A 27,431-nucleotide genomic window follows, 5' to 3' on the forward strand; every position below is an offset into this window, starting at 1 on the left:
ATATCACCTGAGAGAGTTCCCAAGTCTACAATTGCTCTACTAGTTACTATTCAGTGTTTGTGAAAAATTTTAATCTCAGTACTGTGAAGAAGCTGGAAAAAGGGATATTATGGGGCTAAAAGCTCTCTGTTTGGGGCTGCTTTGTGTTCTTTTTGTCTCTCATTTTTACACACCCATGCCAGACAACATTGAAGAAAGCTGGAAAATAATGGCCTTGGATGCCATCGCTAAAACTTGTACATTTACGGTAAGGTTAACATTTATTTTTTCTGTTGGAAATTGGGATGACTTATTGACTAAAAATGGGTGCTTATGAACTCTTTTATTAATAGTATTAATATCACCATTTTGAAAGAACCATTGCTTGTTTGAGTAAATTAATTAAACAACATTAAGTAAATAAAACTCCCTATATCTGTGAGTAACAGTGAGACAGAATTCTCAATTCTAAGACTTTATGTCTAAACGTGACATGTATAAAATAAATTTATTGTGACATGTATAAAATAAATGGTATTGCTAAAGGAAAAGGCTTTGAGGTTTATTTGAGAACTTGACTTAAATTTGAACTTTCAGGGACAACCTAGTCCTGTAATTATCTTTTAGTTGTTTAGATACACATTATTGATATTTGTAACTCTTTGATATTAATTTAAGGCTCTTATTATTTAATGGCTTTCATTGTCCATCTTCAATTCTAAATTGCTGGTTTTCAGGCATTATCTGACTTGGCATGTGCAGAATGAATTATAAATTCATGCAAAAATAGCTCCTTTAAAAGGGAGAGATAGGGTTAGAAACTAATATTTTTGAGTTCTTAAGTTGTATAGGCTTTGTATAATATGTACTTCCATTGATTCCCCGCTATCCTGCAATTATTTTTATCAGGTTATGGGGTTGGGGAAGAGATTGAGAAGAACATATGCAGGTAAAAAGTAACAACTCCATAATTTGAACTATAAACTGTCTCATTTTGAAACCCATACTCTTTCTGCCAAGCCAGACAGCTTCCAGAAAGGGTAACAATAAGAGGCTCAAAGGAGAAGGCCACAGAAGATGATCAGAAAAAAAGAGAGCAACCCATGGTATAAAAAGAAGAGGCTGTCTTATGATGCTTTGTACAGCAAACAGTATATTTGCTTTGTGAAACCACAGTCAACTCCTTCTGATGTCTGCTAATAGTTTCCCCTGTAATCACTTCTAGAGGCTTACCTTCTCCATAAATTTTCTCCAATGCTCTTACTTCTTGAGTAAGCATAAGTGGGTAAGCAAGTGTCACTTCCACAGAGAAAATACTATGCTCCCTTTCTTGATTATCTAATTTGTATCTCAGGGCATTAACTTGTTTAAACCCTACTACAACCCACTGAAGTATTATTATTACTGTCATATAGACAAGGAAATTGAGCTACAGAGAGTAATTTTCTCAATGTCTATCAGCTAGTAAGTAGTAGCATAAGATGCTGGTTTAAATGGATGCAGACTTGGCTTTGACATTTACTGGCTACAACTTAGAGTTTCTGCATACTTCCTCGTCTTTAAATTATAAGGGTTAGCATGGTGGCTCACGATTGTAATTTCAGTACTTTGGGAGGCCAAGGCAGGTAGATCACCTGAGGCTAGGAGTTCAGGACCTGCCTGGCCAACATGGGGAAACCCCATCTCTACTAAAAATACAAAAATTAGCCAGCTGTTGTGGTGCACGCCTGTAATCCCAGCTACTGGGGAGGCTGAGGCAGGAGAATCACTTGAATCCAGGAGGCGGAGGTTGCAGTGAGCTGAGATCGTGCCATTGCACTCTAGCCTGGATGACAGAGCAAGACTCCTTCTCAAAAAATAAAAAAATTAAATTAAAATTAAGAAAATAAAGTATAGTGGCTAGATGTTCTCAATTGCCCTGCAAATACCTTAATTTCCTTGGAATAATTATAATAATAAAGATTGTTTAATGTGTTATTAACCATGTAATATTTAAGTTTTTTTATGAGTAAACTGTCCAGTGACATAACACAAAAGTCCTCGAGAAGCTGGTCAGGAATACCAAAGGCAGCTTTTTTCAGTGACATCAAATATGGAATTTAAAGGTGAGGAAAGTGCCCTAATCTTTTTGGAGTTGAAAGCCAAAAAATTTGGATTATTACTAGTGTGTTCATATGAAGATATTTAAAACTTTGGATTAAATAAAATGAACAATGAAAAAAGAAAACATGACAGCATGCCTACAAAATTTATTTTTCTGAAAAAAATTTACAAATCAAAAATAATTACAGCGGCATAAAAAAACTGCTAGTAAATTAGTGGGTTTTGAATAGGACAGCTCTCAGTCTAAAATACTAAATATTTGAGATTTTCCTTTTTTATATACAAGGATTTATCTTTTTTTTTTTTTTTGTCTTTTACTTCAAGTTCTGGGATACATGTGCAGAACGTGCAGGTTTGTTGCATAGGTATACATGTGCCATGGTGGTTTGCTGCACCTATCAACTCGTCATCTAGGTTTTAAGCCCTGCATGCATTAAGTATTTGTCCTAAGGCTCTCACTCCCCTTTCCCCCTGCCTCCCGACAGGCCCTGGTGCATGATGTTCCCCTCCCTGTGTCCATGTGTTCTCATTGTTAGACTCCCATTTATGAGTGAGAACATGTGGTGTTTGGTTTTCTGTTCCTGTGTTAGTTTGCTGAGAATGATGGCTTCCAGCTCCATCTATGTACCTGCAAAGGACATGAACTCATTCCTTTTTATGGTTGTATAGTATTTCATGGCTTATATGTGCCATATTTTCTTTATCTATTCTATCATTGATGTGCATTTGGGTTGGTTCCAAGTCTTTGTTATTGTAAATAGTGCTGCAATAAACATATGTATGCATGTGTCATTACAGTAGAAATATTCATAATCCTTTGGGTATATACCCAGTAATGGGATTGCTGGGTCAAATGATATTTCTGATTAAAGATCATTGAGGAATTGCCACACTGTATTTCACAATGGTCGAACTAATTTACGCTCCCACCAACAGTGTAAAAGCCTTCCTATTTCTCTGCATCCATGGCAGCATCTGTTGTTTCCTGACTTTTTAATGATCGCCATTCTAAACACTTCTCTAGTTCTTTTAATTGCGATGTTCGAGTGTCAATTTCAGATCTATTCAGCTTTCTGATATGGCCATTTAGTGGTATAAATTTCCCTCTTAACACTGCTTTAGCTGTGTCCCAGAGATTCTGCTATGTTGTCTCTTCATTCTCATTGGTTTGAAAGAACTTCGTTATTTCTGCCTTAATTTAGTTATTTACCCAGTAGTCATTCAGGAGCAAGTTGTTCAACTTCCATGTAGTTCTGAGATTTTGAGTGAGTTTCTTAATCCTGAGTTCTAATTTGATTGTGCTGTGGTCCGAGAGACTTTTTTTTTTTAATTTTCATTCTTTTGTATTTTCTGAGGAGTGTTTTTTCTTCCAATTATGTGGTCAATGTTAGAATAAGTGCTATATGGTGCTGAGAAGAATGTATATTCTGTTGATTTGTGGTGGAGAGTTCTGTAGATGACTATTAGGTCCCCTTGGTCCAGAGCTGAGTGCAAGTCCTGAGTATCCTTGTTAATTTTCTGTCTCGTTGATCTGTCTAATATTGACAGTGGGTGTTAAGGTCTCCCACTAGTAGTTTGTGGGAGTCTAAGTCTCTTTGAAGGTCTCTAAGAACTTGTTTTATGAAACCTGGTGCTCCCGTATTGGATGCATATATATTTAGGATAGTTAGCTCTTCTTGTTGCCTTGGTACCTTTACCATTGTGTAATGTCCTTCTTTGTCTTTGATCTTTGTTGGTATAAAGTCTGTTTTATCAGAGACTAGATTTGCAACCCTTGCTTTTTTTTTCCATTTGCTTGGTGAATCTTCCTCAATCCCTTTATTTTGAGCCTATGTGTGTCTTTCAATGTGAGATGGGTCTCCTGAATACAGCACACTGATGAGTCTTGACTTCTTATCCAATTTGCTAGCCTGTGTCTTTTAATAGGGGCATTAACCCATTTACATTTAAAGTAAACATTGTTATGTATGAATTTGATCCTGTCATCATGATGCTAGCTAGTTATTTTGCACAATAGTCAATGCAGTTTCTTCAGAGTGTCATTGGTCTTTATATTTTGGTGTGTTTTTTCAGTGGCTGGTACCAGTTTTTCTTTTCCATATTTATTTCCTTTCCATGTTTCTTTCCATATTTATTTCCTTTCCATGTTTTCTCCTTATTTCCTTTTGTAAGGCAGGCCTGGTGGTGACAAAATCCCTCAGCATTTGCATGTCTGGAAAAGATTTCATTTCTCCTTTGCTTACGAAGCTTAGTTTGGCTGGATACGAAATTCTGGGTTGAAAATTCTTTTCTTTAAGAATGTTGAATATTTGTCCCCACTCTCTTCTGGCTTGTAGAGTTTCTGCAGAGAAATCCAGTGTTAGTCTGATGGGTCTCCCTTTGTAGGTAACCTGACCTGTCTCTCCAGCTGCCTTTACATTTTTCCTTTGTTTTAACCTTGGAGAATCTGATGATTATGTGTCATGGGGTTGCTCTTCTCAAGGAGTATCTTAGTGGTGTTCTCTGTATTTCCTGAATTTGAATGTTGGCCTGTCTTGCTATGTTGGAGAAGTTCTCCTGGATAATATCCTGAGGTGTGTTTTCCAGCTTGATTCCATTCTCCTTGTCACTTTCAGGTACACCAATCTAACGTAGGTTTGGTCTTTTCACATAGTTCCATATTTCTTGGAGGCTTTGTTTGTTTCTTTTCTTTCTGTTTTTCTCTAATCTTATCTTCACACCTTATTTCATTAAGTTGATCTTCAATCCCTGATATCCTTTCTTCCACTCGATTGATTGAGCTATTGATACTTGTATATGCCTCACGAAGTTCTTGTGCTGTGTTTTTCAGCTCCATCTGGTCATTTATGTTCTTCTCTAAACTGGTTATTTTAGTTAGCAGTTCCTGTAACCTTTTATCAAGGTTCTTAGCTTCCTTGCATTGGGGTAGAACATGCTCCTTTAGCTCAGAGGAGCTTGTTATTACCCATCTTCTGAGTCCTACTTCTGTCAATTCGTCAATCTCATTCTCCATCCAGGTTTGTGCCCTTGCTGGAGAGGAGTTGCAATCATTTGGAGAAGAGTCATTCTGGTCTTTGGAATTTTCAGCATTTCTGGGCTGGTTTTTCCTCATTTTCATGGATTTATCTACCTTTGATCTTTGAGGCTGATAACCTTTGGATGGAGTTTTTGTGTGGGGGTCCTTTTTGTTGATGTTGATGTGGTTGCTTTTTGTTTGTTAGTTTTTCTTCTAACAGTTAGGCTCCTCTTCTGCAGGTCTGTTGCAGTTTGCTGGAGGTCCACTCCAGACCCTGTTTGCCTGGGTATCACCAGTGGAGGCTGCAGAACAGCAAAGATTGCTGCTTGCTCCTTCCTCTGGAAGCTTCATCCCAGAGGGGCACCAGCTTGATGCCAGCCAGAGCTCTCCTGTATGAGGTGTCTGTTGACCCTTGCTGGGAGATGTCTCCCTGTCAGGAGGCACAGGGGTCAGCGAACCATTTGAGGAGACAGTCTGTCCCTTAGCAGAGCTCAAGCACTGTGCTGGGAGAATTCTCCTTCTCAGGATCAGCTGCTCTCTTCAGAGCCAGCAGGCAGGAAAGTTTAGGTCCGCTGAAGCTGCACCCACAGCTTCCCCTTCCCCCAGGTGCTCTGTCTCAGGAAGATGGGAGTTTTATCTGTAAGCCTCTGACTAGGGCTGCTGCCTTTCTTTCAGAGATGCCCTGTCAAGTGAGGAGGAATCTAGAGAGGCAGTCTGGCCACAGCCACTTTGCTACATGGTGCTGAATTCCAACCAGTCCAAACCTCCCGGCCTCCTTAGCACTGTCAGGGGAAAACCACCTACTCAAGCCTCAGTAATGATAGACCCCTCTCCCCCCACCAAGCTAGATCATCCCAGGTTGACTTCAGACTGCTGTGCTGGCAGTGAGGATTTCAAGGCAGTGGATCTTAGCTTGCTGGGATCCTCGGGAGTGGAACCCTCTGATCAAAACCTCTTGGCTCCCTGACTTCAGCCCCCTTTCCAGGGGAGTGAACGGTTCTGTCTCACTGGAGTTCCAAGCACCACTGGGGTACAAAAGAAACTCCTGCAGCTAGCTCCATGTCTGCCCAAACAGCCATCCAGTTTTGTGCTTGAAACCCAGGGCCCTGCTGTAGGCACATGAGAGCATCTCCTGATCTGCAGATTGCAAAAACCATGGAAAAGCGTAGTATATGGGCTGGGTAGCACAGTCCCTCAACGGCTTCCCTTGGGTGGGGGAGGGAGGTCCCCTGGCTCCTTGCACTTCCTGGGTGAAGCAATGCCCCACCCTGCTTCTGTTCGCCCTCTGTGGGCTGCACCCACTGCCTAACAATCCCAATGAGGTGAACTGGGTACCTCAGTTGGAAATGCAGAAATCACCTGCCTTCTGCATTGCCCTCACTGGGAGCTGCAGACCGGAGCTGTTCCTATTCGGCCAGCTTGCCAGATATTTGAGATTTTCAAGGGCAAGAAGGTTATGCAATAAGATCTTTACAGTATTATTTGGAAATAATATTTTTAAATAGTCTATTTCTTTTTGTTTACCTTGCTTATTTTTTCTTCCTTTTTAACTTTCTTTTTAAATATATTTGGTGTTATTTAAATATCTAAATATTTAATTTTGTTTGTTTTGTTCTTACAGGCTATGTGTTTTGAAAATATGCGTATTATGAGATATGAAGAGTTTATATCCATGATATTCAGGCTGGATTATACCCAACCACTTTCAGATGAATACATCACAGTGACTGATACAACATTTGTTGACATTCCAGTACGATTGTACTTGCCAAAAAGAAAGTCAGAAACCCGAAGGCGAGCTGTGATATATTTTCATGGTGGTGGTTTTTGTTTTGGAAGTTCCAGTAAGTTCATTGTATAAGGAAAAAGTGTAGCTAGCTCTACATTTTTGATATAAGAACTATTTTATATAAATATACACACTTATACTGATACATACATCTATATATATACTTGTCTGGATATGGATAAGTATAGATATAAATATGAGACATCTAATAAAGAGACATAGACATATGTTTGGCAACTAATATTATGGGGATTTTAAATTCAGTTTTTGTTTTGTTTTTTTATTATCCTTAGCTTTCATATTGAATGAACATATATCAAAGGAAAATAGGATATAAAGTCAGTTATTAAACTTTTTTCTTGGGATCTGAATTCAGGAGCAGAAACATTGAGGGGATGCAGATGTTTTAATTAACAAGTCAAAAGCATTTGCTATTGGTTGCTACAAGATCAAGTTTGCAGTTACTGATAACATAATAGAAATACTGGTAAGGCTTAGAATGCAGTTGTTAGTATTGACTCTAAAAAGAAAACACAAAATAGTACTATGTAATAATAAACTCTTCCCATAAAATCTCGGTTCCCTACTTGTCTTTTTAGGCATTTTTCTTACAGTGATTATTCAATAAATGTTTTTGTGAAGAAAAAAGACACACACATAGTGAATGAGAGGGACATCTGATGATCTCTAGAGGGATTATTATCCAAAATGTTCTAATCCATTTCTTTTATGTATTTTTTACCTTCTTAATGTTTTCAATACATTGGATTTCATCTATATTTCATCTATAATTTAATTTATATCATGTGTTAAAATGGTCGAATAACCTGCTTTCTTGATAAGATAAATACCAAGTTTGCCTCATTTCTCTCCAAAGAAATGCATTCATTCCACTGAAGTTTTTACGAGGTGTATGAAATATCCAAGTGTTCATATACATATTACCTAGGACTTGAGTAAGCACAAAAGAAATGGCCACTGACAGGAAAATATCACTTTGATTGAAAAATACTAAGAAGTATTCCTGATTATTAGGGTTATATCTCTTTTTACTGACATAGGCAATGATTGTGATCAGTAATTTCTAAAACTGTGAGAATTATTATTCAGGATATGACATTCCAACATTCTGCTTAGCTAAATTCTAGATGTCTTTTGTCAATATTTTGGTTTTATATTTACACATTATTTGTTTTCAGATCTCCCAAACATATGTGAATACACTGGAAAAGACTTAGATACTTTCTAATTTTCACCAAGAAAAAATAGACATTATAACTATTTTCTAGTATTTGCAAATTTTAATTTTCTTTCTTTTCCCCCTAGGCTTCCTCTTTTGTCTTCTCTAAAACATACATAAGTTGCTTTGAGAACCAAGAAATATAGGAAAATGTTGCTCTAGTAGACTTTTTATATACTTTTGTGATCTTTGTTTTTCAACATTTATCCTCATATCTTTTTGTTTTTCAACATTTATCCTCATATCTTTTTGTTTCTATACGCATTCTACAGACACTATAACAATAAAAAGGCATGGAATAAAAGAAACAAGACCAGAGAGATTATATCAGCAAATATTCTATGAGTACAGACAGTTTGAGATAAAAATGGGAAACAAACAAGCAAACAAAAATATGGCTTTAATTCTAAGACAAAAAGGATTGGGAGATAAAAATGAAGACATAGATTTGAAATACATCACTGAGTGGCTTTAAAGGTTATGAAATGAAACTGGAAATAAGACCTCAAGGTCTCTGGATGAAACGGATTTCTTGTGGCTGATAAAGAAACCCAAATTATGACACTAAGAGCTCAGTGTCCATAATGAGTGAGAAAAGGGTGGTCACACATCACTTTGTTCCCAGAGAAGGCAGCTCCAAACATCCTGTTTGCGCCCCTGAGCTAAGATGTTTCCAAGCTGAAACACCCTGATTAGAAAACTCATCCCACCAGTTGCTTGAAAGCGGTATCTAACAGACTTTTGGTTTGGGGCTTGGAAACTACCCAATCAGGAATCAGCTGTTTTAAACTATTTGAATAAGTTTGAATCCTTTATTTACATATATATACCTGATTGTGATTGAGGGATGCCAGCTGATTCTCCATATTTAAGCCACAGACCCTCTTTTTGGTCTCTGGAGCACACTTTTGTTTTACATGGAAGGCTATGTCTCCCTAATCTGCAGATTTTTTTTTTAATAGAAATTAAAGCTCTCCCATTTTCTTCTGAAGATCTCATGCTCTTTCGTTAACAAGGTGAAGTTCAGAGAGTTCTTAGGTCTTGTACATTTTGGTCTTCATCTATGCATGGCCTTTTCTTGAAAATTAACTTAATCTTTAATAAAACATTATTTTTTTCTATTTAAAAGACTAGGTGACTTACTTTCCTGTTTTCCAGGTTATATATACACCCTGTGGTTAGTTTTCACTTTGCAGTTTTGTTAATGTGCAAGAGAAGGTCCAGAGAAGTCTGGAATTTGATCACAACTCTAGAATTCTTTGGATTTCTAGGATCTTGTGGTAAATAAAGCAGCAGCAGATGTTACAGAATTTGCCAAGGTGCTTGGCCAGGGCCCTGGTAAATAGGATATGTGGGGACCTGGGGAAAGATGTGTGTGTGTGTGTTATGTGTCTGGGGAAAGTCAATAGCTTGTACATCAAGCATGTCAAAACTCATATGTATATCAAGTCTTCACACTGACCTGCCAGAGGCTCTCTCATATCTAGTTATTATTCCTTAGACTCTGTCTTAATGCCAATGTTATTGGACTATTTTATTATGTGGCATCTTCAAAGAAGACAAGAGGTTTTGAAGAACGATGTTTAGAGACTCAATACATACTATTACTTTCTTTTTCCTCCGACTTCTGAACCAGTTAAAAAATTACACCCAGAGTTCACATAAATGCAAGTCAAACCATTACCATTATTTCAGATGAAGTAAAATGCACCAGGATACAAAGGGTCCTGGGAAGGGTCATTGTGTACAGACAGCAGATGTCAAGACGATATTACAATAGGCTGAGCCTATTCTAGTTGATCCTCCCCAAAATAATCAATTGGTGAAGTCATCCTTTTCCTCCTGGAAAGAGTGGCTGAAAAGACTAGGAAGGGGAGAGTGTGCCACGTGGATTCAGGTCCATCTGCTTGGAAATGGGGGGTGGAAATAAAAGCTATGTGATATTCACAAACCACAGTTATTTCCACATTCATATCTGTAACTGTTTCTATAGCTTTTTAATTACAGGAAATACTTTGATGTTTATTTCTTCATTTCAGAACAGAGGGCTTTTGACTTCCTGAATAGATGGACGGCAAACACGCTTGATGCTGTTGTTGTAGGCGTGGAGTAAGAATGATTTTTTTCTGGCTACTATGATTTTTGCCTTTACCATGTAGAGGTTTGATTTCCACATCAAGTCAGCTATGCTTCAAATATAATTTTTTAAATTAATATATTTTACTTGTCACCATTGCAACATAGACTGCTCCTCAAAGAGGTTCAGTGTCCCATTATTTTTCTGTGATTGTGAGAATATCTGAATTATACCCCAGAGTAAGCAGTTTTGGAAACACTTGCTCTAGACACGTAAGACTCAGGTCCTATAAGGCCCTAGTAGTGTCCCAAGTAACACAGCTGGACAGAAGGAAGTATATTAACTATTACACATTTGGGATACTGGATTGTATTTGAGCAGGCAAGAAAAGTTTAATTTCATAGCTTTTGAAGTAATCTAAATACTATTTTATATCTGTTTTGATATAATAATATGTTTGTGCCTGGCTTATACATTCTATCAAATCCCTAAAATTTGTGTTGTTCTTTGTCCAAAAAGTATAAATCCACTGCATTTTAAATAAAGATACCAACATCTTTTTGGTACACATCTATGTCTAAGCTACAAATTACTTAGAGTTTTCTAGATAGTTTATAATAAAATTCTAAGAACCCTATTACCAACATTTCATATTGGCTATAGAAATATACATGTTTTAGCATTCTGAAGATCAAAAAGAAAAAGCTCTATGAATTGACTGCTAGATGTATTTTCCTGTCTTACTGTTCTACACACACTGGGGAAAAAATAATTTGTGCCCATGAAAAGAAGAGTGTGATAATTTGCCTTACAAATGAATTTACCAGAAATAAGCAAGCTCTCTGGCATATTTAAATTTTATTTATATATCAAAATTTTTATCTAGTAATAACTACTGGGTATTATCCATGATGAAGTATATGCACCGTCAGCTTATAAAATTTTTACCTAAATGTCCTTGATAAAATAGGACACTGCCTACAATATGCTCTCAGATCTGCAGCCTATTGTGCTTTTTAAACAAGCATTTTTAAAAAAATGTTTGGATTACAAGTTACATTGAGAATATGATGTAAGCTATACACCATCTCCATTCTAAAATACACTTGGACTAAAATTTTTGCTTACAATTCCTAGGAAGTTCATAACACTCCCCTGACTCCTCACAAATAATTCCATTCATGGATTTTAGGTACAAGATTGAAAACCTTATACTTTATTAAAATAATTTTCATTTTAATCAAGAGTTAGTAGAAAACTTAGGCTTGATTTTTAGAAGACTGAACAATAAAGACTGGCATTAAATTGCATCTATTTGGTATTTGAGAATTAGATGGACAGATACAACCATAAATGCTTTATTATTCTTTCTTTAAAGCTATAGGCTGGCTCCTCAACACCACTTTCCTGCTCAGTTTGAAGATGGCCTTGCTGCAGTCAAATTTTTTCTTTTGGAAAAAATTCTTACAAAATATGGAGTGGATCCCACCCGAATCTGCATTGCGGGAGACAGTTCTGGGGGCAATTTAGCAACAGCGGTCACTCAACAGGTACATTATATTTGTTTTTATGATAGGAGGCAGAAATTGAGGCTCATTTTTTTTCTATAGATAATTCAGTTCTTCCCCCACCATTTGTTGAAAAGACCATTCTTTCCCATTGAATTACAGTAGCACTTGAGTAAACATTTATTTAACCTTAATGTGACTATTTCTGGATTATTTTGTTCCATTGATCTACATGTCTATCCTACTGCCAATACTACACTGACTTCAACTGTTCTTCTTTAAAAAAAAATCTAGTATTCCATATCTTTCCCATTAAAATATTAGATTATCTTATCAATTTTTAAAAAGAAAGACTAACTGAATTTTTATTAGGATTGCATTGAATCTATAACTTTGGGGAGGATTGACGTGTCAACAATATTGAGATTTCCAATTAATGTACATGGCATGTCTCATACTTTATTAGATCCTCTTCAATTTCTCAGCAATATTTTACTATTTTCAGTGTAGAAATCATGGAAATCTTTTCTCAAATTTTACCCTGAGGTATTTTTTAAAATTTTTATTAAAATACTATTTTCTGAATGTTTATTTGGAACATATTGGAATTTGTAATTTGTAATTTATTTCTATGCTATATAGAAATACAATTGATTTTGATATTGGCCTTTTCCCATCATATCCTCAATAAACTCACTTATAACGCTAGTGTTCTGTGTTTTTTTTGTTTTTTTTTTTTTTAGTTTCCTAGGATTTTCTATATTTTCAATGACGAGAGACAGTTTTAGTTCTTGCTTCCCAGTACTTGTTCCTTTTAATTTTTCTTTTATTATTGCACTGTCTGGGGCCTCTAGTAAAATATTTAATATAACTCTCTTGCTTTGTATTTTTGGAGGAAATTTTTCAATATTTCATCAATAAATATAGTATTAACTGAAGGTTTTCATAGTTAGCTTTTGTCAGATTGAGGAACTTATTTCTACTCCTAGTTTGCTGATAGTTTTTGCATAAATGGGTCTTGAATTAGTCAAATGTTTTTACTCCAACTATTGAGATGATCATGTAATTTTTCTTATTTATTATTTTAGTGTGGTAAATTATGCCAATTGACTTTTAAATGTTAAATTATGCTTACATTCTAGGCATGAGCCTTACTTGGTCTTGATGAATTAAAATTTTTATATGTTGCTGCTTTCCATTTGCTTTAGTTCATTAAATGTTTTGTATTTTTGAGATTAATCTTTAATTTTTAACACTTTTTGTCAGGTTTTTTTTTTTTCTTTGAGATGGAGTTTTGCTCCATCACCCAAGCTGGAGTGCAGTGGCGCGATCTCAGCTCACTGCAACCTCTGCCACCTGTCTTTGTCAGGTTTTGAGAGAAAAATTACACTAGCCTCATTAAATAATTTGGGAAGAATTCCAACTCTCTTATTTTCTGTTTTTTTCTCTTTTGTGAGGTTGTATTGAGGTACAGTTGAAAAGGAAAAATCATATGTATTTAAGATGTACAACATGATGTTTTGATATATGTATGCATTTTTAAACAATTAACAAAAGCTAAGTAACGTAATCATTACCTCACATAGTTACCATTTATTTTTTCTCTATGGTGAGCATGTTTAAGATCTGTCTTAGCAAATTTCGAGTACGCAGTATTATTAACTATAGTCACCGCACTTAATATTAGATCTCCAGAACTTATTCATCCTGCATAACTGAAACTTTGTAACCTTTCACCAATATCTCCCTGTTCTCCCCATCTCCATCCCCTTTCATCTATATCCCCAGCTCCTCATAACCACCACTCTACTATCCACTTCTAGGGGTTTAACTTTCTTAGGTTCTACATAAAAGCAAGATTATGCAATATTTGTCTGACTTATTTCATTCAGTGTAAGGACCTCCAGGTTCATCAATGTTGTCACCAATGACAGGATTTTCTTCTTTCTGGAGGCTGAATAATATTCCATTGTGTGTGTTTGTGTGTGTGTGTGTGTGTGTAGATACACACACACACACACCAAATTTTCTTTATCCATTTATCCGGCTGACAAACAGTTTGATTCCATATCTTGGCTATTGTGAATACTGCTTCAATGAATATGCGAGTACAGATATCTCTTCACATTACTGACTTTGTTTCCTTTGGATAGATACCTAGAAGTGGTATTGCTGAATCATCTGGTAGTTCCATTTTTAATTTTTTGAGGAAACTCCATACTGTTTTCCATAATGGATATACTAACTGACATTTCCAACAACAATGTACAAGGGGTCCTTGTACATATGTCTACTCAGTTCTATTTCCCATTTTTTAAATTGGGTTATTTGTTTTCTTGCCATTTAGTTGAATTCTTTATACATTTTGAATATTAACCCCTTATTGAACCCATGATTTGAAATATTTTCTCCTACTTTGTAGAGTGTCTCTTCACTCTGTTGATTGTTTCTTTTTTCGTGCAGATGCTTTTTAGTTTGAGGCAATCCCATATATCTATTTTTGCTTTTGTTGCCTGTACTTTTGGAGTCATACCTCCCAAATTAGTGCTTAGACTAATATAAAGTCATTTTTCTCTAAGCCTTCTTCCAGTAGCTATACAGTTTTATATTAAGTGTTAGACCTTTGATTCATCATTTTGAGTTGATTTTTGTATATGAAATGAAATGAGTGTCCAATTTCATTCTTCTGCATGTGGATATATGAGAATTCTCAACATTATTTATTGAAAAGACTGTCTTTTCCTTTTGTGTGTTCTTGGCACCTTTGTCAAAGATCAATTGACCATTGCTATAGCTTGGTCTTTCCCAGTCAAAGCTCATGTTGAAATTTGATCCCCAATGTGGCAGCATTGAAAGACTGAGCCTAGTGAGAGGTGTTTGGGACAGGAGGGTGGATCCTTCGTGAATAGATTAATGCCCTTCAGAGGGAATGAATGAGTGAATTCTTGCTCTCCAGGGAATGAAATAGTTTGTCAGAGAGCAGATTATTAAAAACAATCTGGCTTCCTTGGTTTCTCTCTCTTGCTTCCTTTCTTGCCATGTGATTTCTTTGCACATGCAGATACCCGGTTCTCTTTCATGAGTTAAAGCAGCCAGAGGCCATTATCAGATGCAGATACCCAATCTTGAAACTTTCAGCCACTAGAATTGTGAGATAAAAATTTTTTAATAAATTACCCAGTCTCAGGCATTCTATTGTAGTAGTGCTAACTGAACTAAGACAACAATTTATTTCTTAGCTCTTTATTCTGTTCCATTGGTCTATATGTTTGTTTATATGCCAGTACCATACTGTTTTGATTATTGTAGCTTTGCAGTTTATTTTGAAATCAGGCATTATGATGCCTCCAGGTTTGTTCTTTTTACTCAAGATTATATTGACTATTCAGTCTTTTGTGGTTCCATATTAATTTTCTATTTCTGTAAAAAATACCATTGAAATTTTGATTGGAATTGCATTGAATCTGTACATTGCTTTGTGTAGTATAGACATTTTAACAGTATTAATTCTTTGGATCCAGAAACATGGTTAATCTTTTCATTTACTTGTGTCTTCTTCTATTTCTTTCATTAATATTTTATAGCTTTCTGTGTATAGATCTTTCTACCTCCTTGGTTAAATTTATTCCTGGTGTTTTTTATGTACTTATTTTTGATGCTATTGAAATGGGATTTTTTAAAATTTCTTTTTAAGATAGTTTGTTGTTGGTATATAGAAATGCAAGTGATTTTTCTATGTTGATTTTGTATCCTGCAACTTTACTGAATTTATTTACTTGTACTAACAGATTTTTGGTAGAGTCTTAGGGTTTTCTGTATCTAATATCATGTAATATGAAAATAGACTTTTTTTTTGGTTTTTGAAACAGAGTCTCCCTCTGTTGCCCAGGCTGGAGTGCAGTGGCATGATCTCTGCTCACTGCACGCTCTGCCTCCCGGGTTCATGCCATTCTCCTGCCTCAGCCTCCCGAGTAGCTGGGACTACAGGCACCCGCCATCATGCCTGGCTAATTTTTGTATTTTTAGTAGAGACAAGGTTTCACCATGTTAACCAGGATGGTCTCGATCTCCTGACCTTGTGATCTGCCAGCCTCAGCCTCCCAAAGTGCTGGAATTACAGGCGTGAGCCACTGCACCCGGCCCAGACTTTTTTTACTTCTTTCTCATTTGGATGCTTTTTATTTCTGTTTTTGTTTGTTTTTTTGTTTTCTTAATTTCTCTGACTAGGTCTTCTAGTATTTTATTAAATAGGTATAGTGAGAATGGGTATCTTTGTCTTGTTCCTGATGTCAGAGGAAAAGCTTTCAGCTTTTTATCACTGAGTATGATGTTAGCCTTGAGCTTGTCTATATGGCCTTTATTATGTTGAGGTACTTTACATATAATTTGTTGAGAGTTTGTATAATGAAAAGATATTGCATTTTGTCAAGTCATTTTTGCATCTGTTGAGATGTTCATGTAAGTTTTATTCTTCATTCTCTTACTATGGCATATCACCTTGATAGATTTGTGTGTATTGAAACATCCTTGGGATAAATCCCACTTGAACATGGTGTATGATCCTTTTAATGTGCTGTTGAATTCGGTTTGCTAGTATTTTGCTTATAATTTTTGCACCTATGTTCATAACGGAAAATTAGCCAGAATATCTTTGCCTTTCATGACCTCAACATTTTTTAACAGTGCTGGGGATTTTTCTGTGATGCTTACTCATTACGTCAGCTTCCGCCACCTGTGCATCCAGGTTCCTAAGTTCACCTATGAGTCTCTGTTCATCACTTCCTCCACCTACGCATCTATGTTCCTAACGAATAGTTTGCCAGCCTTTTCTTATCTTTCATGATCTTGCCACTTTTCAAGAGTGCTGGTTTTTTCCTGATGTCTACTCCTTATGTCAACTTGTCTACCTTTCTATTTAAAAAAAAAAGATGAAACTAGTCTTCTTCAGACTTCTTTTTGAGAAACACTGCTCTGTACTTTTTAAAATATGACTTTAGTTATAAAAACTTGAGCCAAAAGCTTACTCTAGGTGCCTCTCTATTTATTTTTTAAAATTTCTTTCCTTTTAAGTATTATAAGATTCAGGATTAGAGCACTAGAAGAAGTTTATATACATACATATTTTTATATACATATACACTTGAAATACACGTTATACATACATAAGTATATATGCACATACATACATATACATGTACATGTACATATGCCTATACGTATATATTAATCTATGACATCATACACACAAAACCCTATTGTGAAACCAAAATTGTAGTGATAACAAAGCTTCACCTTTGGTTCTATACCTGGGCCTCCCTTCAACCCAACCTGTTACACTTTAGTTGCCCTTCATGTTTAGAGCTCTAAGTAAATTTTCTTAGGAGAAAAATAAAAGAGGACTTCATTGCCAAGAAGAAAGTTTGCAAACCATTAGACATGTTGATTCCTTAGGACTCTTCCAGACAGAACTTATTTGCTATTTACTTGAAATAATGTCATTTATTTGAAAGATCTTACTGGAGTAAAATGAGGAGTATGATGGAGGGTAAAAATTGGAGAATGCCCTGCTTAGAGATTATTATACTAATTACTATGTAAAATTGCATAGCAGTCTGGTCTAAAATTTCATCTGAAACCGGTTTGGGGAATGTAGAGATTCTGAAAGCTGTCCAACAATTACCCAATAGTGATTAAGCAACATCTTACCATACCTCTAATTTCTTGCACATTTGTAACATTTGCTTGGCTTTGCAAGTGTAGCAAGCATAACTGAAACAACAATTGGGCTTGATGTATTGGCTCACCTCTGTAGTCCCAGCACTTTGGGAAGCCCAGTGGGGAGGATTACTTGAGGCCAGGAGTTCAAGACCACTCTAGGAAAAATAAAAATAAAAATAGTCAGAGGTAGTGGTACACTCCTGTAGTCCCAGCAACTCAATAGACTGAGGCAGGAGGATTGCTTGGGCCCAGGAGTTCGGGGTTTGCAGTGAGCTAGGATCACACCACTGCAATGCAACATGGGTGACAGAGGAAGACCCTAATTCTAAAAAACAAAAAAGAAAAGAAAGAAAGAAAAAAGAAATAACAATTGGATGTAGCCATACAGATTCGTGAATATGTGATACCCTACCTTATAACTTTTCAGCAGGACAATACTTAATAACACAGGCACCAAACAGAGACGTGATTCTTAGTAAAATCTGTAGGGCAGCACAAAAGTGCACAAAAATCTAACACCATTCTATTTCTTAATTAATTATATAAGAACTTAGTATCTATTTAGACATTCTGATTTATCTGTTCAAAGGGAACATAGTGTAGTATGCAGATGAACAGGCTGCAGAAGAACTCAGTGTACTTAATGAGCATTTAAAAAGGTGATTTTCTTTATCCTTTCCTATTTACTTTTGTGATTATACTTTAAGTTATTTGTTCTTCATGGACTGCTAAACTTTCTATATGAATTACATATTCATTGAAAAGCTTTATTACCTGTACTGTGTTTATTTTGGGTCATAAGAATCAACTTTTACTTTGAAATTATTATAGAGCTCATTTTTTCCAATGTCTCATGATCCTGTGATTGATAATATGTTATAGATTATGGCTTTAAAAATTCGGTATCAATAATCACCACTGAGGGATATATTTTAAAAAATGACTCATCTGTTTCAATTCACATTATAAAAGGATTTTCTCATGGATTAGGACACATACATTACCCTGTCATTTTCTCTTGTGGACTTGGTCCACTTTTCAATTGTATTCTTATTATTGAGAAGAAATGAATATATTTAACCTATTATTGCTAGATTTCCTGGCAACATCACATGATGTGTCCTAAAATCACTGATGTGGCTTGCTGGTCACAACGATCTGGATGATCACTATAGCTTAGAAAACTCTTGTGGACATGGTGCCTTAATCTTTAATTAAGAGGAAAAACTATTTCTAAACTTTAATCATATCACTTAAATCCAATTTCATGGCCACATTTTATTTTAAAAGAATGTATGCATTGCTCTTATTTAGGATCAGAGATATTCTTTTTACTTTCATAAAACAATGGGAATTGATTTGATATTTTGAAGTAATTAGTAAGTCCTACTCTCTTAGATATTCTAAAAAATAAGTATTTCAATGTAGGTAATTTAAAGAGGAAGCTGTGATATGCAATAGCTCTACTTATTTAGGTTTATAGCTTTGGTCTTTCTAAATACACTTTTGTTTCTAATTTGTATCATTTGTCATAAGGTGGTAATAAAGCCGTATGATCTTATTTATAATAATATTTCTATGGCATCCCATATTTCTATGGCTGTATATATTACATATGTGACACTTCTTTAAAAATATAAAAAACTCTTTAAAAACAGTTTAATAGCAAATATTAATCAGAAATTATAATTAATGGTGATGATTTTTAGAAAAACATGATTGACATGCAGCATTCTTGGACATGGGATGATGTCCCATACATAGATAGTATGTATGTTAGTTTCTGTTATTTTGTTTGTTTACCTCTGTGTAATCACTGCATATCAGTGTTATAGAGGTCACCTGAAGTCCATCAGAAGCAGAAATATCTGTCTTCTTTTACTTGCACCTGGAAGTGGTATCACTGTGAGTCCTGCACTTCTGAGTGATATAATCTGTTTTACTGTCACACTTTTAGGACATAAAGTGGGAAGTGGGATTTTAGGGGAAGAATAAAGATCAGGAAAGGACAGGATTAATCTGCAAGGAGGAGAGCAGGTTGATTATCTTGGACTCTAGCCCATGTGGGAGTTTTGCAGTTTCCAGCATGGTTGGAACATGCGTGCTAGGATGAGGCCAAAAAATCCTCCCATTTGGAATTTCTTCATGGTGGTTCATAGTTTATCCAGATACTCATTGGCTAGTTGTGTATTGTTGGAATCAAGTTTGGAGTTGTTAGGGGTAGTTCATAGAAAGGAAAATTAGTGGGGATAGCAATCACAGTTTCTATGAAGTTGAGTGCTCTGGGTTGAAAATGACAGATATGAAGTTTGGTGAACAATACTTACCATTAGCAATGTAGGAACTCCTCAAATAACAAGTTAATATTTTGTCTACATCCATCCTTCCATGGATGACAGGCTATGGATAAGTTGGTGTGGGCATGCAGGAATTTGAATAACACACACTCAAACCAGGGAGCTAGATGGTAGGGTATCTTGTGAACAAGTAACTGGATTGAGAAGGGTAGTAGATGATGGGGGGCAAAGTGCAAGGGCCGTAATATGTTCCCTTGGCAGCGGAAACCATTATTCTCTAGGAAAGTGCCATGCCCTTTGAATGGTCACAGGGCACTTGGGAAATGGGAGAGGATTCAGTAATGCCTCAGACTGTCTGGAGTTGACTTTATGCCAAGTGCAGGTGTCCATGGCAGATTACTGCTTTGAATGGGCTTTGAAGCAGTTGAGTCATAAAATGACACAGGGCATGAAGTCATGGATCATCCCTTCTCTGACTTTGTTACCAGCTTCCTTTCAGCCACCACTCCCAATTCATGCTGTCCAGGAGGGATGTTTGCGAATGAAAAAAACTGATGTAGGAGTGAAAATCGTGCTGGTCCACATGTTTACTCCAAGCATTTTAGCATGGCATAGAAGCTTTTCATGAACTGGGTCCCAAATTTTGCTCTCAAAAGTATAAACTTAGGAGACCAGTCTTCATCATGGTATAAATAAGTTACTTTCTTGATGACAATAATACCAGTGGCATGGCCTATAACTTGAAAAACACGGCCTATAACTTGAACCAATTAGAGATTCAAACTGGGGGACTTAATAAGGGAGGGGCAGAGCAAATAATTTATATGAGACAATTTTACTGTAAATACCATAAGTTTAGGATTAATGATATTTAATTATAAAAGGAAAGTTCAAATGCATACTATCCATTGTGTTTTCATGAAAATAAAGTTCATTGTTGAAAAAGATTAAGAATAAGGATGGGCTTTATTGAAGCTCTTCCACAACCTTTAAGTTACTTAGCTATCCAAAGGTCTTTATTATATTGGAAATATAATAAAAAGGTAAATAGAAGTTTGAAATACAGTTACCAGTGTCTAAACTCTAAGGACATTACCGTGAGCCAGATATGTTCTCTCAAATTTTGACCTTTTACTTTTTCATTCTTGTTCTTTACAAAGTAATAACATCCTGAGATGAATGTCACATTTTTTTGCACTCAAGTACATATCAGTTACCCACAAAATCAGAAATACATATCCATTCCTTCATGTCCATTTTATAGAATGCTCCATTCTAGGCTTGTTTTGGTTTAGTATTAATGTTTATGTGCACTTTTGAACTTTGCTTAGCTGGCTATCTTCGAGACCATATAGGTCTAGGAGGAAAGAACTAAGCTATAGATAGGTCAATAATTCAGCATTACTGTTGGGACCTACTTGTTTTATACTTGTTACTGTTTCTCGGATCCTATTATTCCTGGCTCCAGATATAGTGTCCTGTTAAAAGAATTATACATCAGATATTATAGTTTTTAATATTATGGTTTCCATATTATTAAAATATTCATTTTTCTATTTTCCCATATGATATTAATGACTTTATTATCTTAGGCCCAGTAAGGGGTACAATGACAACTTAGGTATCATGTCAGTGTTTGTGAAATTCAAAACCAAGTAGAAAGATTAATCATGTACATTTTTGTATAATAAAGGAAAAGTGACGACTGGCCTTAAAGAGGTAATAGAGATTTGGGAATTTAAAAAAGAAGAGTTTCCTTTGATCAGGTATTTACATGCAGAATCACACATATATGCTTGTGAGTATATATAAAATGTGTAGAAAATATCTGAAACACACCTGATAAATAACATAGTTGTTAAGACTATGGCAAAATTGCCAACCTCGGAGAATCTGACTCAGGTGCTTTTCCAATATCTTGAAGAGAACTGACTTTAGCATGGGTTTTGAAGAATGTTAGAGGAAAAAAGCCTTGAATGGCAAAGTAACAAATGACATAATGGGGAACATAGAGATGGGAAATACTGACACATTTGTTGAAGTGACTTATTTCATATGGCATTCCAGAAAGGAAAGTTAGGGTCAGGCAAGGTTATTGATGGACACTTTTTGACCTGTCCCTGTTTATGTGTTCTCTGTTTGTTTTTTTCCTAGATTAGCGAGATTGAGAGTAGGATGACTGAGGGTGGGCTATTGATAGCAATCTTTGATTAGTAAATTATCTACCTAAGGGCATGGCAGAGAGATTTGGGATCTAGGAAAGTTTCTGTAAGATAACTTTGTTTTGGCTCATTTTCATTCTACACTTATTAAACCTCTAGCATCTTGGAAGTACACTGTAGAGATGGTAGGATACCATTTCCCTTTCTGAGGTACCTCTTGGATTTCAATTTAGTTTTTCCTTTCAGTTCAGCCAGCCACTGTGGTGACTGGGTGACTTAGAGGTACATCCTGTGGTCCTGAGCTTTTCACTTGTAGCAGCAGCAGGTATTTTCATTTGTCCAGATCCCAGACTCTAGCCAAGGCAATAGCTCTTGGGAGATTAATTCAACGTTATCTCCTGCAGTCTGCAGGGTCATAGGTGAGACCTCAAATGCCTTTCTCTTTGAAAAAGAAAAGGCACTCCTTATCAAGTACTTCACATTTTATCCTTGCATATCAGACTTGTGCACATCGATTTTTTCATAATTTTCTCCCTTTGTTTCTCCAACACTGCATCATTCTCATAAGATACCTGTTGATTGGCCTTTTTTTTCTTCACCTTGGTCCACGTGCTTTTGCATTGGGATAATGTTTCTTAAAAATTATGGTATGATGTTGGTAATGTCCACCTTGTTTCCAAAGAATATATTCTAAAAATGTTTAAGATTTTTTTTTAGATTCTATAATGAAATAATATGATTTAATAGCTATATTTATTTCTTCCACTCACTCTGGTTACTTTATTTAAGAAGGATTTTTACAAAACTATATGTACTGCCAATTTCCACTAGAAATATCTTTAGAATTGGATCATTTTCATTTGTGATTTTTGACCAAAAAATCCTGTGTATCTCTCTCGCCTTGTACATTCTCTTTCTGTCTCTTTCCCTCTCCTCTCTTATACTTTCTCCTTTTTTCCTCACACAAAAAATCAATATTTTTTAAAACCTTAAATTTAAATTGGTTTGAATTTTTTTATGCCATGGTAATATATTATAAATATTATAAAAATAATTATGATACATCACATCAATTTATGTAGATTTGTTTATCTTATGACTGCTAGATAATTAAATTTTTTTTCTCCTGGTATTTTGGAAATGTTTGCATTACAGAATATTACCATATATTTTCAGGTGCAGAATGATGCTGAAATAAAACATAAAATCAAGATGCAAGTCTTACTTTACCCTGGCTTACAGATAACAGATTCTTATTTGCCATCTCACCGAGAAAATGAGCATGGTATAGTTTTGACCAGGGATGTAGCCATAAAACTCGTGAGCTTATATTTCACCAAGGATGAAGCACTTCCCTGGGCAATGAGAAGAAACCAACACATGCCTCTGGAGTCAAGACATCTGTTTAAGTTTGTTAACTGGAGTATTCTTCTTCCTGAGAAGTATAGAAAAGACTATGTATATACTGAACCAATTCTTGGAGGACTTAGTTATTCATTGCCAGGACTTACAGACAGCAGAGCATTACCCTTGTTGGCCAATGATTCTCAGTTACAGAATTTGCCACTAACCTATATTCTTACTTGTCAACATGATCTCTTAAGAGATGATGGACTTATGTATGTTACAAGACTTCGAAATGTTGGAGTCCAAGTTGTTCATGAACATATTGAGGATGGAATTCATGGAGCTTTATCATTCATGACTTCACCATTTTATTTACGTCTAGGTCTTAGGATAAGAGATATGTATGTAAGTTGGCTGGATAAGAATTTATAAATATGTGATGTGTATGTATAGCCCTTACATAGTGGATTGTAATTTGTGATATTTTGTGGTTTTGGAGCAAAGAACAATGTCATTTGAGTTATCTAAATCTACATTTGCAACATTTGTAGCAGTTAATGTGTGTCCTTGAAGAGTTATTAAATTTTCTGACTTGCAGACCCTGAATATGTAAAATGTATGTAATCCTGCCTATTTTCTCCTTACTTATAATTTATTATAATTATGTTGGTTCTAATAAGAACCAATGCTTATTAAAGTTGAGAAATAAGAGTGGTTATTGGCAAATTAAGCAAGATACTTTCCAGATAGGCACAGAAATTGTTGTAGTGAGTGGGAAGAGGAAAAAACATGGAACAAACTTGCTGCTAAAAATATATGGAAACCACTGGACTAAATAAACCCTAAGGACCCTATATTAGTTTCCTGTGACTATTGTAGCAAATTACTACAAATTCAGTCGCTTTAAACAACAGATATTTATTCTTTTACAGTTCTGGGGTCCTAAAGCATGAAATTAGTATTAACTAGGCCCAAACCAAGTCACAGGCAAGAGACATGACTCCCTTGGAGACTCTCTAGAAGGTGCTCTTTGCCTCTTTTAACCTCTGGTGGCTGCCAGTATTCTTTGACTATTCTTAGATCAGTTTAATCTTGAAGGCCAGCATCTTCCAATCTCTTTCTGCTTCATCTTCACATTGCCTTCTTCTCTGCCTGTGTCTAATCTCCCTATGGGCTTCTCTTAGAAAAACACATGTGTTTACATTTAGGAGGGTCCACCTGAATAGTCTAGGATAATCTCTGCATCTCACGATCCTCAATTTAATTGTATTTGCAGATTTCCCCACCCTTTTCTATATAAAGTAACCTTCAGAGATTAGGATGTAGTTATCTTTTGGGAGGCCATTTTTAAAAATATTTTTTAAAGGAGGCAGCAGATCAATATTATAATTCAAGAATCTGATCTAAATATGCATTCAATAATGAAGAACATTTGAGTATGGACTAGAAAAGCTTCTCCAAAAAACTTTCAAATATATCATCTCAAATTACCTAAAGAATAAATCACTTCTGTAGCCCTTTTGTTGAGTGGAATCATAAACAAAAAACTGAAAATTTATTGCTATGAAAACAGATCCATGGTACAATGTTATAAATTTTGAGTATTAAGCATAGTCAGTTGAATCCAACTAAGAAGTTAAAAATGTAGTAAGAAATGTGTATATGTATGAGTATGTGCATGTGTGTGGGAAAAATCTACCATCCAATTGACCCAAAAACAACTTACTCAGTTGGGACCAGACATTTTTCTCAATTCTCCATGATTCAGAAGGCAATTAAGAATTACAATTTCAACAGTCCACAAACAAAATAAGATTTTTTTAATGTAGAGAGAAATTAATTATGTTCAAAGAGCCCTTTTTCTTTCACTCAATTTCAGTACCCCAAAGCTAAAAACGCAAACATGACTATGACAAATGAAAATAAGTATCATGGGAATCTGTTTTTTTCCTCTGAGAAATAAAATCTAAATGGAGATTTGATACTATATGCTATACTACATACACTAAGAATATTGTATTTTTCATAATTCTGATTTAATCTCCTGTAAACTTGATATATTTTAAAATTTGTAATTTGTTTTTCATGATACTGAATCTGGTTCCAGTTCTTTTTCATCATTTAATATACTGGCTACCCGTTCTAATTAGGAAAACAAGTCCTAGAAATCTCTTCATTTTGACAGCAAGTGCTGATTTGTAAGAAAATCATTAAAAATGCAGCTCTCTAGGAAGCACATTTTGTTGATTGTCCTATTGTCTGAACATTTTCACAGTGATTCCTGACTAAAAATCCTTTTAATTTTGTAAGCACTACACTAGTGTGTCATGTCACTAGTATGTACTTTCAAGCCTTTAAACAGAAAGGATGGCTCACAGCTAGATAATAACTAAGTTTGTTTTCGTTTTGAAAAAGTTTGTATCTTGCAGAGCAGAAAAGCACTTCTTTTTTTGCTACATAAGTATGTGGTAGAAATGTATGCTAAGGTAGGCCAGTCAATCCTTTTTTATTTATTTTGTAAATTTGGTCCCAGAATATTTCTGGAAGGAACCACAGGTAGACTAGCTTCCATTGCAGTCCCTTACCTCACTAACTTCTTTTGTGGCTTTATCCAGGCACTGTTACTGTTTGTATGCTAAAGGGTTCATTTCACTGGGTCTTACTTTCAAAGTTTGTTCCATTTTGTGTGGTGGCATGAGCATTGTGATCAAGCCATTAAGTTTGGAAACAACTGAATGAAAGTCGTCTGTTATAATGTATTTTACTTTATTTTTAAATTTCATTTTAAATTGACAATAATTGTACATATTCATGGGATACATAGTGACGTTTCAATACATATCATGTATAGTGATTATATCAGGGTAATCGGCACATCATCTCAAACATTTATCATTTCTTTGTGTTGGGAATTTCAATATCTTTTTTTTAGCTGTTTGAGATTATGTAATATATTATTGTTAACTATAGTCATCCTACAGTGGTATAGAAACTACCTAGCTGTAATGATGTATCTTTTAACAAATCTAATTTATTTCTTGACAGTATAGGGGAAGACTTGATTACACCCCATGGCATTACAGCTAAAAATTCCAACGTTTTCAGTCTCTTTGTAGCTATGTTATCCAGACATTGATTTGTATTTACATCTCATCTTCCTTTCTAAGAGAAACAGTGATGCAGAACCTGAGAGTCAAATTTAATATTCTCTAGGTACCAAGGCAAGGGTTTATGTTACAGTTTGTGTACTAGTCCAAGTCCCAAGTTGTGACGATACAGCTCCATAACCTACCTTTATACCACCCAGGGAAAGTATACAGAAGAAATTCTTGACTTCATCTATCCGAATTTCTACAAGTCATCTGTTATTTTTCTGATAATCTGCCTGTGTCTCCTGGAAACATAAGGTGTAGGTTTCTGACACATATATCTAACATGTAAAGAAGTAACAATTTCCAAAATACCTCCAAACAGCGCCACATCCTAAAGGAAATTTCTAGGTTTTTCTGCTGAAATATCCATTCCAGCATTGTGTTTGTTTGCTAGAGCTGCTATAACAAAGTATCACAAACTGAGTGCCTTAAATAAACAAAAGGAATTTATTACTTTGTGGTTCAGAAGGCTAGAAGTTGGAGATCAAGGTGTCATCACACCATGGTCCCTCTGAAGGCACCAAGGATGGATCTGTTTCAGGACTCCTGGCCTGTAGCAGCATAACTCCAATCTTCACATGATATTCTCCCGTTGTATGTGTTCTTCCCCAATTTTCCCTTTTTATAAAGATAGCAGTCAGATTAGATTAGGGCCTATCCTAATAATTTCATTTTAACCTGACTGTCTTTGTAAAGACCCTATCTGCAAATAAAATCACATGTAAAGTATTGGGGCTTAGGACTCCAACATATAGATATGTTTTATATATATGGTGAGATATATATATATTTTTTTATATATGGTGAGATATATATTTATATATGGTGAGATATATATATATATGGTGAGATATATATTTATATATATGGTGAGATATATACATATTGTGATATATATATATATATATATATATATATATATATATATGAATTTGGTGGAACACAAAAGAACACCTAGCAAGTATCATATGTTCCAATTTCTTAAAAGTAAATAAAGGCCTTGTGCCATTGGTGGTGTTCTGAAAGGAAGAGTCCATCAATTT

At 35.3% G+C, this 27,431-nt stretch overlaps 1 protein-coding gene and 1 long non-coding RNA gene across 3 annotated transcripts in view, besides 1 other annotated feature; one reads left to right on the top strand and one right to left on the bottom strand.

The window, feature by feature from the left end:
- AADACL2 (arylacetamide deacetylase like 2) lies at nt 1-27,413 on the top strand. The gene is made up of 5 exons (NM_207365.4): nt 1-247; nt 6,720-6,942; nt 10,167-10,236; nt 11,583-11,754; nt 23,066-27,413. The coding sequence occupies exons 1-5, from the start codon at nt 110-112 to the stop codon at nt 23,666-23,668; spliced, it is 1,206 nt and encodes a 401-aa protein (NP_997248.2). The 5' UTR covers nt 1-109; the 3' UTR covers nt 23,669-27,413.
- Nucleotides 15,788-16,987: an enhancer, noted in NCBI's record as "P300/CBP strongly-dependent group 1 enhancer chr3:151467502-151468701 (GRCh37/hg19 assembly coordinates)". NCBI's record gives its function as "activates an origin of replication core promoter dependent on BRD2, BRD4, P300/CBP, MED14 and CDK7 cofactors, with strong dependence on P300/CBP, by STARR-seq in HCT116 cells {active_cell/tissue: HCT116}" and the evidence as "EXISTENCE:reporter gene assay evidence [ECO:0000049][PMID:35650434]".
- The window catches only part of AADACL2-AS1 (AADACL2 antisense RNA 1), a 176,997-nt gene continuing 166,818 nt past the window's right edge, over nt 17,253-27,431 (bottom strand). Inside the window, exons 3-4 of one of the 2 annotated variants that reach the window (NR_110202.1) lie at nt 21,146-21,205; nt 17,253-17,585 (exon numbers count right to left, since the gene is read on the bottom strand). This is a non-coding gene — a long non-coding RNA (AADACL2 antisense RNA 1). The remainder of the gene's footprint in view (nt 17,586-21,145; nt 21,206-27,431) is intronic. The other variant, NR_110203.1, reaches the window with a different exon arrangement.

Source organism: Homo sapiens, chromosome 3 (assembly GCF_000001405.40).
Source record: "Homo sapiens chromosome 3, GRCh38.p14 Primary Assembly".
In the NCBI taxonomy this organism is placed as follows: domain Eukaryota; kingdom Metazoa; phylum Chordata; class Mammalia; order Primates; family Hominidae; genus Homo; species Homo sapiens.